This window comes from Homo sapiens, chromosome 19 (genome assembly GCF_000001405.40).
Source record: "Homo sapiens chromosome 19, GRCh38.p14 Primary Assembly".
Taxonomy (NCBI): Eukaryota; Metazoa; Chordata; class Mammalia; order Primates; family Hominidae; genus Homo; species Homo sapiens.
Genome location: NC_000019.10, coordinates 49,493,717 through 49,507,864, shown reverse-complemented (window position 1 = coordinate 49,507,864; position 14,148 = coordinate 49,493,717). Strand labels below are relative to the sequence as shown.

The 14,148-nt window shown below is 53.4% G+C and overlaps 1 protein-coding gene, 2 non-coding genes and 1 pseudogene across 3 annotated transcripts, besides 9 other annotated features; 2 read left to right on the top strand and 2 right to left on the bottom strand.

Annotated features, from left to right (window-relative positions):
- Positions 4,399-4,693: a silencer, noted in NCBI's record as "tiled region #15417; K562 Repressive DNase unmatched - State 8:EnhW". NCBI's record gives its function as "represses a minimal TATA promoter and a strong SV40 promoter by Sharpr-MPRA in K562 cells {active_cell/tissue: K562}" and the evidence as "EXISTENCE:reporter gene assay evidence [ECO:0000049][PMID:27701403]".
- Positions 5,226-5,433, top strand: COX6CP7 (cytochrome c oxidase subunit 6C pseudogene 7; annotated as a pseudogene).
- Positions 6,505-7,276: an enhancer, noted in NCBI's record as "H3K27ac-H3K4me1 hESC enhancer chr19:50003846-50004617 (GRCh37/hg19 assembly coordinates)". NCBI's record gives its function as "activates a minimal SCP1, AML or CMV promoter by ChIP-STARR-seq in naive H9 embryonic stem cells {active_cell/tissue: H9 hESC(naive)}" and the evidence as "EXISTENCE:reporter gene assay evidence [ECO:0000049][PMID:30033119]".
- Positions 6,859-7,153: a silencer, noted in NCBI's record as "tiled region #3785; HepG2 Repressive DNase matched - State 18:Pol2, and K562 Repressive non-DNase unmatched - State 14:Gen5'". NCBI's record gives its function as "represses a minimal TATA promoter and a strong SV40 promoter by Sharpr-MPRA in HepG2 and K562 cells {active_cell/tissue: HepG2 | K562}" and the evidence as "EXISTENCE:reporter gene assay evidence [ECO:0000049][PMID:27701403]".
- Positions 6,980-7,229: a silencer, noted in NCBI's record as "silent region_10918". NCBI's record gives its function as "represses an Ori minimal core promoter by ATAC-STARR-seq in GM12878 lymphoblastoid cells {active_cell/tissue: GM12878}" and the evidence as "EXISTENCE:reporter gene assay evidence [ECO:0000049][PMID:35858748]".
- MIR150 (microRNA 150) lies at positions 6,997-7,080 on the top strand. Its single transcript, NR_029703.1, has one exon. It is a non-coding gene; the product is annotated as a microRNA 150 (primary transcript).
- Positions 7,277-8,049: an enhancer, noted in NCBI's record as "H3K27ac-H3K4me1 hESC enhancer chr19:50003073-50003845 (GRCh37/hg19 assembly coordinates)". NCBI's record gives its function as "activates a minimal SCP1, AML or CMV promoter by ChIP-STARR-seq in naive H9 embryonic stem cells {active_cell/tissue: H9 hESC(naive)}" and the evidence as "EXISTENCE:reporter gene assay evidence [ECO:0000049][PMID:30033119]".
- Positions 8,050-8,821: an enhancer, noted in NCBI's record as "H3K27ac-H3K4me1 hESC enhancer chr19:50002301-50003072 (GRCh37/hg19 assembly coordinates)". NCBI's record gives its function as "activates a minimal SCP1, AML or CMV promoter by ChIP-STARR-seq in naive H9 embryonic stem cells {active_cell/tissue: H9 hESC(naive)}" and the evidence as "EXISTENCE:reporter gene assay evidence [ECO:0000049][PMID:30033119]".
- Positions 8,157-11,431, bottom strand: RPS11 (ribosomal protein S11). Its single transcript, NM_001015.5, has 5 exons — positions 11,394-11,431; positions 10,540-10,671; positions 10,270-10,345; positions 9,819-9,948; positions 8,157-8,353 (listed from the first exon to the last, which is right to left on the bottom strand). The coding sequence occupies exons 1-5, from the start codon at positions 11,406-11,408 to the stop codon at positions 8,230-8,232; spliced, it is 477 nt and encodes a 158-aa protein (NP_001006.1). The 5' UTR covers positions 11,409-11,431; the 3' UTR covers positions 8,157-8,229.
- Positions 10,059-10,146, bottom strand: SNORD35B (small nucleolar RNA, C/D box 35B). Its single transcript, NR_001285.1, has one exon. It is a non-coding gene; the product is annotated as a small nucleolar RNA, C/D box 35B (small nucleolar RNA).
- Positions 10,476-10,695: an enhancer, noted in NCBI's record as "active region_14947". NCBI's record gives its function as "activates an Ori minimal core promoter by ATAC-STARR-seq in GM12878 lymphoblastoid cells {active_cell/tissue: GM12878}" and the evidence as "EXISTENCE:reporter gene assay evidence [ECO:0000049][PMID:35858748]".
- Positions 11,542-11,951: an enhancer, noted in NCBI's record as "active region_14946". NCBI's record gives its function as "activates an Ori minimal core promoter by ATAC-STARR-seq in GM12878 lymphoblastoid cells {active_cell/tissue: GM12878}" and the evidence as "EXISTENCE:reporter gene assay evidence [ECO:0000049][PMID:35858748]".
- Positions 11,914-12,686: an enhancer, noted in NCBI's record as "NANOG-H3K27ac-H3K4me1 hESC enhancer chr19:49998436-49999208 (GRCh37/hg19 assembly coordinates)". NCBI's record gives its function as "activates a minimal SCP1, AML or CMV promoter by ChIP-STARR-seq in naive and primed H9 embryonic stem cells {active_cell/tissue: H9 hESC(naive and primed)}" and the evidence as "EXISTENCE:reporter gene assay evidence [ECO:0000049][PMID:30033119]".

Genomic DNA, 14,148 nt, shown 5'->3' with positions numbered 1-14,148 from the left:
GGGCTCTGTTCTAATGAGCCCTGACTACACCCTCTCTCCCCCTGGGATCCTGCTGTCATGTCCCCAGGGCTCTATTAGAACCCCCTTAGACTGTCACCTGGGCTCCCCCAGGACAGCTACAATGTCCTGAAGTCCACACTATAGTGCAGTAGAAAGCCCCTGGCAAGGCCGGGCGCGGTGGCTCATGCCTGTAATCCCAGCACTTTGGGAGGCCAAGGCGAGCAGATCATCTGAGGTCAGGAGTTCGAGACCAGCCTGGCCAACATGACGAAACACCATCTCTATGGTGCAAAAATTCGCTGGGCCTGGTGGCCTGTGCCTGTAATCCTAGATACTCAGGAGGCTGAGGCAGGAGAATCGCTTGAACCTGGGAGGCAGAGGTTTCAGTGAGCCGAGATCGCGCCACTGTGCTCCAGCCTGGGCGACAGAGTGTGACCCTGTCTCAAAAAAAAAAAAAAAAGAAAGAAAGAAAAGGAAAAAGAAAAGAAGAGCCGGAAGAGCCGGGCGCCGGTGGCTCACGCCTGTAATCCCAGCACTTTGGGAGGCTGAGGTGGGCGGATCACGAGGTCAGGAGTTCGAGACCAGCCTGACCAACGTGGTGAAACCCCGTCTCTACTAGAAATACAAAAATTAGCCGGACGTGGTAGTGCGCACCTGTAATCCCAGCTACTCGGGAGGCTGAGGCAGGAGAATCACTCGAACCCAGGAGGCGGAGGTTGCAGTAAGCCGAGATTGCGCTATTGAACTCCAGCCTGGGCGACAGAGCAAGACTCCGTCTCCAAAAAACGGAAGAGAAGAGAAGAGGAGAGGGGAAGGGGAAGGGGGAGGGGAAGGAGAAGGGGAAGGGAAAGGAAAAGCCCATGGCAGGACACACTCAGCATAAAACAAAAATGTGGTCCCCTTGGTTCCAGTTTCAAGATGGTTCAAGTAGAGCACTCACCAGGTGCTGGTCCCTTCTGATCCACTCCTCAGACTGCACGAGGAGCTGGCCTTAAAGCCGGCCCTGGCCCCTGCCTCTGTGCCTAGAATGGCCCCAGGCAGCTTTGAGCTGTGCACCCTGAACCACCTAACCGCTGCCCCTCCTCTCCACCCTTACACAATAGTGCCCCCTACTGACCTGGGGGGCAATCACACCTGAGTTCAAAACCAAAACACGACTCTTCCAGGTACACCTCTCCCAGCCAAAGGTTCTTTATCTGGAAAATGGGGATAATAATTGTGTCTTTATATTAGGGTGGTGCAAAAGTAATTGCGGTTTCTGCCATTAAAACCCCAATTGCAGGCCGGGCACGGTGGCTCACGCCTATAATCCCAGCACTTTGGAAGGCCGAGGCAGACGGATCACGAGGTCAGGAGTTCCAGACCAGCCTGGCCAACATGGTGAAACCCTGTCTCTACTAAAAATACAAAAATTAGCCAGGCATGGTGGCACTCGCTGAATAGTCCCAGCTACTTGGGAGGCTGAGGCAGGAGAATCGCTTGAACCTGGGAGGCGGAAGTTACAATGAGCCGAGATTGTGCCACTGCACTTCAGTCTGGGTGACAGAGCAAGACTCCATCTGAAAAAAACCAACAAACAAAAAACCCGCAATTGCTGGCTAGACACGGTGGCTCACGCCTGTAATCCCAGCACTTTGGGAGGCTGAGGTCGGGAGTTTGAGACCAGCCTGGCCAACATGGCAAAACCCCATCTCTATTACAAATACAAAAATTAGCCAGACATGGTAGTGGGCACCTGTAATCTCAGCTACTTGGGAGGGTGAGGCAGGAGAATCGCTTGAACCTGGGAGGCAGAGGTTGCAGTGAGATGAGATTGTGCCACTGCACTCCAGCCTGGGCAACAGAGTGAGACTCAAAAACAAACAAACAACAAACAAAAAACCACAATTGCTTTTGCACCAACCTATTTCTTTTTTTTTTTTTTTTTTGAGACGGAGTCTCTGTCTGTCACCCAGGCTGGAGTGCAGTGGTGCGATCTCGGCTCACTGCAAGCTCCGCCTCCCGGGTTAACGCCATTCTCCTGCTTCAGCCTCCTGAGTAGCTGGGACTACAGGCACCTGCCATCACTCCTGGCTAATTTTTTTTTTTTAGTAGAGACGGAGCTTCATCATGTTAGCCAGGATGGTCTCGATCTCCTGACCTTGTGATCCACCCGCCTCGGCCTCCCAAAGTGCTGGGATTACAGGCATGAGCCACCATGCCCGGCCCAACCTACTATTTCATTAGAGGCTTCAGCAGGCCAAAGGCTCCACGTGGCACACAGGGCGTCCATAGTAGCCCCCGGTTCCTGTTAACGCCCCCACTCCGCAGCCAGGCTGGGCCCCCAGGGATCCCACTGGATTGCAGGCTCTGACACCAGGCTCTGGCTGGAGCTGTCTTGCTCACTCTTGCAGCCATCCCTGGGGAACAGCGCAATAAACATTTGTAGAATGAATGTCCCTGGGAAGGCTTGATGTGTTCCTCAAACTCATCTAGAACATCGTTGGTGTTCTGCTAGAATGTTCTAGCTAAATCTATACTGACCTCTGAAACATCCATCGGTCTTTTATTTTTACTTTTTTTCTTGAGACAGGGTCTCACTCTGTCACCCAGGCTGGAATGCAGTGGCATGATAATAGCTCACTGCAGCCTCGACCTCCCAGGCTGAAGCGATCCTCCCACCTCAGCCTCCCGAGTCGCTGGTACTACAGGTACGTACCACCACACCTGGCTAATTTTTAAGTTTTTTTTGTAGAGATGGGGTCTTCCTATGTTGCCTAGGCTGGTCTCAAACTGCTGGGCTCAAGAGAGCCTCCCATCTTGGCCTCCCAAAGTGCTGGGATTGCAGTCTGAGCCACTGTGCCTGGCCTGTCTTGCTATAATACGTAATAGAGCCAGGACCTACTACAGTGTTAGACCCAGGAATTCCTGTTGGGCTCAGGGTAGTGCTGACACTCGGCAGTGGGTCTGCTTAACTACTCCTGGAACACACTCCAATTCAATTTCCAGACTCCACTCACACACCTTGGGACTAGTTCAATGAGCTCAGGTGCCTCCTATATAAATAACTTTTTTTTTTTTTTTTTTTTTTTTAGACAGAGTCTCGCTCTGTCACCAGGCTGGAGCACAGTGGTGCAATCTCGGCTCACTGCAACCTTCGCCTCCCGGGTTCAAGCGATTCTCCTGCCTCAGCCTCCCGAGTAGCTGGGACTACAGGCGCCCACCACCACGCCCAGCTAAATTTTGTATTTTTAGTAAAGACGGGGTTTCACCATGTTGGCCAGGATGGTCTTGATCTCCTGACCTCGTGATCCACCTGCCTCCCAAAGTGCTGGGATTACAGGCGTGAGCCACCGCGTCCGGCCGATCACATATTTTATATTATATAATTATAAATGTAGCCATGGGCTGGCCTATAATTTAACCTGAGTATTGCAACCATGTAATATCAGCAGGGCCTGTCACAGGAGCCCAAGGCCTTACTTAGTATTATAATAGCCCACAGGAGGCTGCAGCAATGATGGCCATCCGGCTCTAATATCACAGACCCATGACCTGCTGCAGGAGGTGCAGGGCCGCAATACAAGATAATCAAGACCTGCCCTGTTTTCACACGGTAGGTTTGATGCCTGTCTTTTTTTTTTCTTTGAGACAGGGTCTGACTCTGTCACCCAGGCTGGAGTGCAGTGGTGTCATCCTAGCCTGCTATAGACTCGGACCTCTGGGCTCAAGTGATCCTCCTGCTTCAGCCTCCCGAGTAGCTGGGACTACAGACCCAGCAAAATTTTTTTTTTTTTTGAGATGGGGTCTCACTCTGTCGCCCAGGCTGGAATGCAGTGGTGTGATCTTGGCTCACTGCATCCTCTGCCTCCCAGGTTCAAGCGATTCTCCTGCCTCAGCCTCCCGAGTAGCTGGGACTACAGGCACCGCTACACATCTGGCTAATGTTTGTATTTTTAGTAGAGATGGGGTTTCACCATATTGACCAGGCTGGCTTCGAACTCCTGACTCGTGATCCACCTGCCTTGGCCTCCCAAAGTGATGGGATTACAGGCATGAGCCACCGCACCTGGCCTAATATATTTTAAATAGAGACAGGAGTCTCCCTTTGTTGCTCGGGCTGGTCTCTAACTCCTGGCTCAAGCGATCCTCCTGCCCTGGCTTCCCTAAGTAGTGGGATTACAGGTGTGAGCCCCGGCACCTGGCCTGACCGCTATCATTATAAACCCAGAACCCCACTATAAAAGCTAACTTTCCTGTGAAAAGGCAAGGCCATTGGGGCCCCCTATAATAGGTATTCGACAGAATATTCCAGAGGCATGCTAAAACAGACTCAACATCCCGTGACAAACTACCAGGGCTTGCTGTAATGGAGCCAGGATTCCGCAACCATACAACAAATATTAAAATAAAAACCGTGGGTCCATTACAGCAAGGGCTGCCTGCCAGAGGCCCTGGTCCTTAAGCCTGCCCAAGGGGCCCCACAGGATGCTGTAACATGACACTATGGGCCTTTCTCCAACACCAAGCTGAGGGCCCCCGGCATTGTTACTTTCCAGTGTACACTTAATCAGGACTGGTTCTGTCCCATTATCACACACGAGCATTGTTTTTTTTTGAGACTGAGTCGCCCTCTGCTGCTTAGGTGGAGTGCTGTCTCGGCTCACTGCAACCTCTGCCTCCCAGGTTCAAGCGATTCTCCTGCCTTAGCCTCCTGAGTAGCTGGGACTACAGGTGCGCGCTATCACACTGGCTAATTTTTGTATTTTTAGTAGAGACATGGTTTCGCCACATTGGCCAGGATGGTCTTGAACTCCTGACCTCAAGTGATCCGCCTGCCTCAACCTCCCAAAGTGCTGGGATTACAGCCGTGAGCCACGGGACCTGGCTCACATGAGCATATTGATCCTCCCAATAGGGCAGGGAGGCAAGAAGCCATTTTACAGATTAGGAAACTGAGGCTCTGTGGTGGAGGAGTGGGTCTCTTGTCCAAGGTCACACACAGCTAGGGAGCTACAGGGCCAGAAGTTGGAAAAGAGCCTCGGCGGGTCTCTGCTACCTCTGGGGCCTCTGGCTCAGCTTTACTGCTTCCAGTTATTGAGCCCCTGAAGCCTAGGGGTCAAGGTCCCCCCAGCCAGAATGTGGCAACTTCACATAATTCATTCCTTCACCATCCATTTTTCCATCAGTCAGGAAGGACGTTGGTATTGAGGCTGACATACGTTATCAAGGACAGTAACTACCATGGCTTCCAAAGTTTTGCCAAAGCCTCAGATGTGTGGCCTTCTGGCCAAGCGTCTGTGATTTCATATTGTTGAAGCATCCATGGTATCCCTGGGGGCTGCAGCTTTCTATATGTTTGCTGTGGCTGAACCAAGAAAGAAGGCATATGCAGATTTCTACAGAAATTACGATTCCATGAAAGATTTTGAGATGAGGAAGGCTGGTATCTTTTTTTTTTTTTTTTTGAGATGGAGTCTCACTCTGTCACCCAGACTGGAGTGCAGTGGCGCGATCTCAGCTCACTGCAACCTCTACTGCCCGGGTTCAAGCGATTCTCCTGCCTCAACCTTCGGAGTAGCTGGGATTACAGGTGCCTGCCACTGTGCCTGGCTAATTTTTGTATTTTTAGTAGAGACGGGGTTTCACATCTTGGTCAGGCTAGTCTCGAACTCCTGACCTCGTGATCCACCCACCTTGGCCTCCCAAAGTGCTGGGATTACAGGCATGAGCCACTGCACCTGGCTGGAAGGCTGGTATCTTTCAGAGTGCAATGATCTTGGAATATAAAGAATTTCTTCAGGTTGAATTACCTAGAAGTTTGTCACTGACTTGTTCCTGAACGATGACACATGAATATATGGGCTAAGAAATAGTTTCTCTTCATAAACAATTAACAAATAAAAAAATTAATTCATTCACTTAATTAAAGACAAAGAGAGTGAGGGAGGGAGCCAGGTGGAAACTCCAGGTCAGAGTATTCCACATAGAGGGAACAGATGGTGAGGAGGCTCAGAGGAACAGCAGGTCTGGTGGGTGCTGGGGGTGTGGGGCTGAGTGAGAGGGAGAGCAGGTGGGAGGGGAGACAGGGGAACCCGCTGACCTAGGAACTGTATCTCCTTGGGTTATCAAATAACCTGTGGGCAGGGTGCAGTGGCTCACGCCTGTAAAATCCCAGCACTTTGGGAGGCCAATATGGGTGGATCATGAGGTCAGGAGTTCGTGACCAGCCTGGCCAACATGGTGAAACCCCGTCTCTACTAAAAATTAAAAAATTAGCTGGGTGTGGTGGTGCATGCCTGTAATCCCAACTACTTAGGAGACAGAGGCAGGAGATTCGCTTTAACTTGGGAGGCGAAGGTTGCGGTGAACCAAGATCGCGCCATTGCACTCCAGCCTGGGCGACAGAGCAAGAATCTGCCTCAAAAATAAAATAAAATAAAATAAAAATAAAAAAATAAAAAGAACCTATGGTCCTTATCCCCACTCTTCAGGTGGAAGGCCTGTCAAGAGGTCCGAGGGGGTCTTTTAAACTTGCTCTTTGCAATCCAGCAGGCCCAGCAGAGGTCCTTCCCCAGCACACACTCTGACCTCAGCACACCACCTGACGTGATGGGGTGCCAAGGAGACGCCCCAACAATCAGGGAGGAAACCGGGGAGCCGGGCTGTTGTTGTAAACACAGCAGCCCCACCCGAACGGAAACACCTGCGGCTGAGGGGAGGGGGCCGCAACCTCCTATTCCCCTCTGGGTCTCCGTCCCCTCCCTCTGGAGTCCACACTCCCTCTTTGCCCCTTGCTGGTTCTCTACTGCCCCCAGCATAGGGTGGAGTGGGTGTGCAGTTTCTGCGACTCAGGGTGGCGTCCCCCCAACCTGTCCCTGCCCCTTCCTGCCCTCTTTGATGCGGCCCCACTTCCTCTGGCAGGAACCCCCGCCCTCCCTGGACCTGGGTATAAGGCAGGGACTGGGCCCACGGGGAGGCAGCGTCCCCGAGGCAGCAGCGGCAGCGGCGGCTCCTCTCCCCATGGCCCTGTCTCCCAACCCTTGTACCAGTGCTGGGCTCAGACCCTGGTACAGGCCTGGGGGACAGGGACCTGGGGACCCCGGCACCGGCAGGCCCCAAGGGGTGAGGTGAGCGGGCATTGGGACCTCCCCTCCCTGTACTCCCATCTCTGCTGCGGCTTTTATGCGTCTCTCCCCTTCGGGTCCCACATATCCTCTGGTGCGCTCCTGCCTCACCGCCCCCACCCCATGCCTGTCGTCCCCACCTCTGTGTGATGCGCAAAGTACACCTGTTTCTATTGTACCTGCCTCTCGCGGTGGTCTGTGCTCTCCCCAGCTCTGCAAAACCCCTCCTCCCCATGTGCCACAACCCTGGGCCACCGTGTGTCCTGTCCTGTTCCTCTCAAGGCCCCCATCTCTGCGGCCTGTGTGTGTTGGGCCGTCTCCGGACGCTTCCTGCCCACTTCCTTCCCAGCAGCCTGGGCCCCGGTACCACTGAACAGGCTCCAGGGGAGCCTCATGATGCCACTTGCCCACACCACCAATTTCCTTACTGCGATTTTGAGGCAGCTGGCGCAGAGGAAGTTTCTAGAATCTGAGACCTGTAACTCAGCTACTCACTGGGACTTCAGGTGGAGGGCTTGGCCTCTCCCAGATGAGTTTCCTCATCTGCAGATAGGCCTGGTGCCCAACTAGGCGTGTGTGGTGCGTGCATGGGGCCCCCATCCTTGGCTGTAAGGAGGGATAGGAGGCCCAGGCTAAAGCCAAGACCTTTACACTTCACAGCCAGACAACAGGGCCTCAGCACATCCCACTCTACCTGGGTGAGCCCATGCCCACAGCAGGGGGGGGCTGCAGCTTCTTCCCCTCCCCACCCGAGGTGGTCAGGAAAGAGACAGACCAGGGCCTGGAGGACCCAGGGGCCTCCGCCGTCACTCACTTCCTCCCCAGAGACCGGAGGGGGCGGGGGGACAGCGCAACGCCAGGTAATCAGCCTTATTCAGACACCGAAAAGGTGACAAGGACCAAAGAAGGAGACCCAGGGGAAGGCAGGCATCTCAGTTCAGGCTCCACTGTCCTCACCCACAGACATGGGCAGGCAGCCTCTCTGACAGCAGCTCTGCCCAATTCCCCGAGGCACACCCCCACCCCCACCAATGCTCTGGTAAAGGCGCGGAAGATCCCAAGTCTGGCCTGGGAATGAGAAAATAACTTTATTTCATTGTGGGGAGCGGGCCGATGTCCAGCCTCAGAACTTCTGGAACTGCTTCTTGGTGCCGGCAGCCTTGGTGACCTTGAGCACGTTGAAGCGCACTGTCTTGCTCAGAGGCCGGCACTCGCCCACTGTGACGATGTCACCGATCTGGACGTCCCTGTGGAGGCAGGTAGGGCCATGTCCTCAGGAGGGGCCACCCCAGCAGACCCCAGGAGGCCCTCCCTCCCCTTCACCAGGCTAAAGGCTCTCTGCTTCGGCTCCACCAAACCCCAACCAAGCTCTACTCGCCAATTCAACCTGTCCCCTCCTTTCGTACAAGTTTTGTGCCAAGCACCAAGCTCAACGCTGTACACAGAGCAGGCCACCACCCCTCCGAGGACCGCTGGGGTGGACGAGCTCCATTTCACAAGCAAACTGGAGGCCCCCAAGTTGTCAGCAGCCTCACCACCCTTCCCCAGCAGAGCAGCAGGGGGATCCTGCAGCACTGACAACCACAGGTCCCTTATCGCTCAGCATCAGTTTGGGCCACCCTCCTCTCCACCCACAGGACTCCTCACCTTGCTCCCAAGATCCTCCCCGCCCAGAGGGCCACCAATATCAGCTGCCCACATCCCCATTCTGGTTATACTTGGCTGTCATCTGGCACCCACACTGCTTGAAGGTGCCCTCTGAGGGAGCAGGACTTTGTTCCTGGCTCACCACTGAACCCCAAACATCTCACACCACACCTGGTACGTGATAAGCTCTAACTAAAACATGCTGAGGGAATGAACAAACGTTTAATTCCAACATTTCTGAGGTTCCCATCTGGTATGACATCCTAACCTTTTGGTTCAAACGCACCTGCCTATTACAGGTTCAGCACCCTAATCCAAAAATTCTGAAACGCTGCAAAATCTGAATTTGTGTGTGTGTGGGAGAGACAGGGTCTTACTCTGTCGCCCAGGCCGGAGAGCAGTGCTGCCATCTCGGCTCACTGCAGCCTCCACTTTCTGGGCTCAAGCAATCCTCCCACCCCAGCCGCCTGAAGACCTGAGACTACAGGCACATGCTACCACACCTGGCAAACTTGTATTTTTTGTAGAGAGAGGGTTTTGCCATGTTGCCCAGGCTGGTCTCAAACTCCTGGGCTCAAGGGATCCTCCTGCCTCAGCCTCCTACAGTGCTGGGATTACTGGCTTGAGCCACGGTGCCTGGCTAGAATCTGAAACTTCTTCAATACCAGCGTGACACCTTTGCTTTCCAATGGTTCAATGTACGCAAACTTTGTTTCACACAGAATTATAAAACGCACTGCGTAAGACTACTTTCAGGCTATGTGAATAAGGTGTATATGAAACAAATGAGCTTCTTGTTTAGACCTATGTCACATCCCCAAAACATCTCACTATGTATGCGAGAACATTCCAAAATCTGGTTCCAAGCATTTCAGGTAGAGATATTCACCCTGTAGAACGCTTTGATTCTGAAGAACATATGATATACAAATCCTGAGATTCTGGGGCTTCCCAGAGATGCCACCTCAGTCTTTCCCTCCCTCAGTTGGCCTTAAATTGGTCCGATCTGGAATCTGAAGGCTGAGAGAGCGTGGCCTGAGCAACCTGATGGGCCACTGCGCTCACCTGAAGCAGGGGGACAGGTGTACAGACATGTTCTTGTGGCGCTTCTCGAAGCGGTTGTACTTGCGGATGTAGTGCAGATAGTCTCGGCGGATGACAATGGTCCTCTGCATCTTCATCTTGGTCACCACGCCTAGGAGCGGGGGCCGATCATAGGTCAGGTCCCATGGGAAAGAGGGCCATAGGTAACCCAGGGCATGCTGGGACTCAGAAGCAGCTGAGCAGGGATCCCAAAAAGCCCCATTTCCGGCATCAGTTTTACCAAGTGGCTTTCTCAGCAGTGCCCACGTGGGCATCTGAAGACCATCGTGAAAACAAACATCATCTGCCAATGTACCTGGACCTACAAGTTTGCATTCCTAACCACCCCTCTCACCCAGGACCCAGGAGTCTGGGCCCCAAGACCCTTCTTTCAGTATTTCAGGCCCCAGACACCAGTAACTCCCGCACTTACCAGAGAGGATCCGCCCTCGAATGGACACATTACCAGTGAAGGGGCATTTCTTGTCAATGTAGGTGCCCTCAATAGCCTGAAAGGATAGGAAAGATAAAGGAGTGAGCCTTGGGCGGGCGGTTCCTTAAAAGAGCCAGGGGCGTGGCCTCAGGGAAGCAACTACAATTCCCAGCAGCCCCAGAAGCCACTTAGATGCAGGCAGGGCAACTCGTCGTGGGCACACGTGCAGGAACGCCAGGTTCCCCTTCTTTCTTCTGAGGTTCCCCGCACCTCCTTGGGTGTCTTGAAGCCCAGACCGATGTTCTTGTAGTACCGCGGGAGCTTCTCCTTGCCAGTTTCTCCCAGCAGGACCCTCTTCTTGTTTTGAAAGATGGTCGGCTGCTTTTGGTAGGCACGCTCAGTCTACAGATTATGAGGAGAAAACTGATGAGCTGCTAAGTTTGAAGCCGGCAGCCAACCAGCCCTAGAGACCTTCCCAGAACCTCCCAGACCCCATGCTCTACATTTACTTGCAAAGCGCCGGCGTCCAAGGCCTGGTGCCCCAGAATCACCCTCTAAGACATGACCACCCTGACCTTACCTGTAATTCATACTCAGATCTAAGCCCGAGGTTATTTCAATTTATATACTCCAGAAGGCCTCTCAGGGATTGCAAAATTCATCCTCTAAACCAGGATCAACCCTCTCACACCCTGGACACCTTTCAGCGAGGATCATTCTCCAAGACCCAAGATCGCCCACCCAGGATTCACTCCTTATGTAGTACATAAGGATTCAGAATTAAATACCAGACGGCAGGCTCCCTGGATTAGCCCTTAGGAGTCCGTTTCCACAGAATTACCCCTGAAGACCGGAGAACTCCAAAAAAACCTTCTTAAACTTGGTTTTTAAGAAGGTAAGTCCTAAAACGCTTGAGCCTCCATTAACGCCAGGAGCCCCCAGGAATTAGGAAGCACTCATCTAGAAACAAAAGCAAGCGCCCTCCACTCCAGTTAATCTCTAGAAAATAATCACGGACGCCCGGAATTAACCCCCGAACTTGGCCGCCGGGCTCTGCCCTCCCGGACGCGCCCCTGAAGGCCAAGGCGGACCCCGCACCCTGGCATCCAACCCCGAGTCCGCACCTGAATGTCCGCCATCTTCCCGGCCGCCTGAAAAAAAGAAAGGGGCAGCAGCGTCCGGGTTTCCTTATCGATTACGCAGGGGCTGGAGAGGAAGTGACGTAAGGAGAAACGCAGCACGGCCTTGGGCGGGGCCTCGAGAGCTGCTCTGATTGACAGGCTGCACTTAAACCAGCGGGCGATTCGGGCACTGTGAAGGACTGACGGGCGGGAAGTGCTAGACGGTGTCTCGCGAGAGTCTTAGGCCCCACAACGCCGGGCGCGATTATTTAGGCAGGGAAGATGTGACCAGCCTTCAGCCCGCCCGTATTATCGCGAGAGTCGTACGGAGTCCATCCTGTTTCGGCGTGGCGTAGGCTCCCGTGGGATTTGGATACCGCGTGGCTCTGTTCGTTCAGCCTTCAAACCGGATGAGGCGGCTGCCATCTTTTTGAAGGGTGGGCGGCCGGGGAGTGCTAGGAGCATGTGTGGCGGCGTCGCCATCTTTGTTAGGGGCAGGAGCTGCCCACGAACTTTCAGAGGTGCAGTGAAAGTTACTCTCGGCCTAGCGCGGTGGCTCACGCCTGTAATCCCAACACTTTGGGAGGCTAAGGCAGGCGGATCACCTGAGGTCAGGGGTTCAACACCAGCCTGGCCAACATGGTGAAACCCCGTCTCTACTAAAAATACAAAAATTAGCCGGGCGTGGTGGCGGGCCCCTGTAATCCCAGCTACTTGGAAGGCTGAGGCAGGAGAATCGCTTGAACCTGGGAGGCGAAGGTTGCAGTGAGCTGAGATCGCGCCATGGCACTCCAGCCTGGCCGACAGACAGCCTGGGCGACAGAGCAAGACTCCGTATCAAACAAAACAAACAAACAAACAAAAAACGGGCTCGGTGGCTCACGCCTGTAATCCCAGCACTTTGGGAGGCCGAGGTGGGCGGATCACCTGAGGACAGGAGTTCGAGACCAGCCTGACCAACATGGAGAAACGCCGTCTCTACTAAAAATACAAAATTAGTCGGGCATGGTGGCGCATGCCTGTAATCCCAGCTACTCAGGAGGCTGAGGCAGGAGAATCTCTTGAACCTGGGAGGCGGAGGTTGCAGTGAGCCGAGATCGCGCCATTGCACTCCAGGCTGGGCAACAACAGCAAAACCGTCTCAAAAAAAAAAAAAAGAAAGAAAGAAAGTTACTCTCGCCGAGTGCAGTGCGCCTCGCCTGTAATCCCAACACTTTGTGAGGTCGAGGGAGGAGGATCGCTTGAGCTGGGGAGGTCGTGGCTACAGTGAGCTATCATTGCGCCACTGCATTCCAGCCTGGGCGACGGAGCGAGACCGTCTCAAAAAAAAAAAAAAAGAGAAAGAAAGCTACTCTCTCCTCATTTCATCCGCAGACGATGATTTAATTGGTGCCAGGGGTTGGCGTGGAGCGATCCTTCTGCCGTTTTTCTGAAGATAACAGGATCGTCTAGTAGAACTTTATGTGATGGAAATTTTCTATATCTGCGCTGGTGGACACGGTAGTCACTGGCACTCTAAATGTGGCTTTTATGACTGAGGACATAAATGTTTAACTTTGATTGTGTTATATCTAAATAGCCACATGTGGCTAAAGGCTACTGTGTTGAACAGCACAAGTCTATAGCTGAATATTACGGTTTTTTTTTTTTTTTTTTTTTGGACGGAGTCTCGCTCTGTCACCCAGGCTGGAGGGCAGTGGTGCGATCTCGGTTCACTACAAGCTCCGCCTCCCGGGTTCACGCCATTCTCCTGCCTCAGCCTCTCCGAGTAGCTGGGACTACAAGGCGCCTGCCACCACGCCCGGCTAATTTTTTGTATTTTTAGTAGAGACGGGGTTTCACCGTGGTCTCGATCTCCTGACCTCGTGATCCGCCCGCCTCGGCCTCCCAAAGTGCTGGGATTACAAGCGTGAGCCACCACGCCCGGCCGGTATTTTATTTATTTTTAGAGACTCCCTAGGGTATCTCTCTGTCGCCCAGGCTAGAGTACAGTGGCTCAATCATAGCTCACTGCAGCCTCGACCTCCCCAGCCTCAGGTAGTCCTCCCACCTCAGCCTTGCAAGTAGCTGGGACTACAGGCATGTGTCACCATGCCCAGCTAATTTATTTTATTTTTAGTAGGGACAAGGTCTCGCTATATTACCCAGACTGGTCTCGAAATCCTGGGCTCAAGTGATTCTCCAGCCTCGGCCTCCCAAAGTTCCGGGAACAGGTGAGACTGCACCCAGCCTCACTCTATTCATATTTAAGTGCTCAGGAGCCACAAGTGGGGTTAGTGGCTTGTGTATTGTGTATCAGTTAGTGCAGCTATAGAACATCTTAATAAAAAAAAAAAAAAAATTGGCCGGGCGCGATGGCTCACGCCTGTAATCCCAGCACTTTGGGAGGTGGAGGCGGGTGGATCACGAGGTCAGGAGAGCGAGACCGTCCTGGCTAACACGGTGAAACCCCGTCTGTACTAAAAATAAAAAAAATTAGCCAGGCACGGTGGCGGGCACCTGTAGTCCCAGCTACTCGGGAGGCTGAGGCAGGAGAATGGCGTGAACCCGGGGGGCGGAGCTTGCAGTGAGCCGAGATCGCGCTACTGCACTCCAGCCTGGGCGACAGAGCCAGACTCTGTCTCAAAAAAAAAAAAAAAATTCTTGTTAACTCAGAGTCTCCCTATGTTGCCCTGTCTGGACTCCAACTCCTGGACTCAAGCCAGTCCTCTCACTTCAAATGGTTGGGGTTACAGGTGTGAGCCACCACATCCTGTAA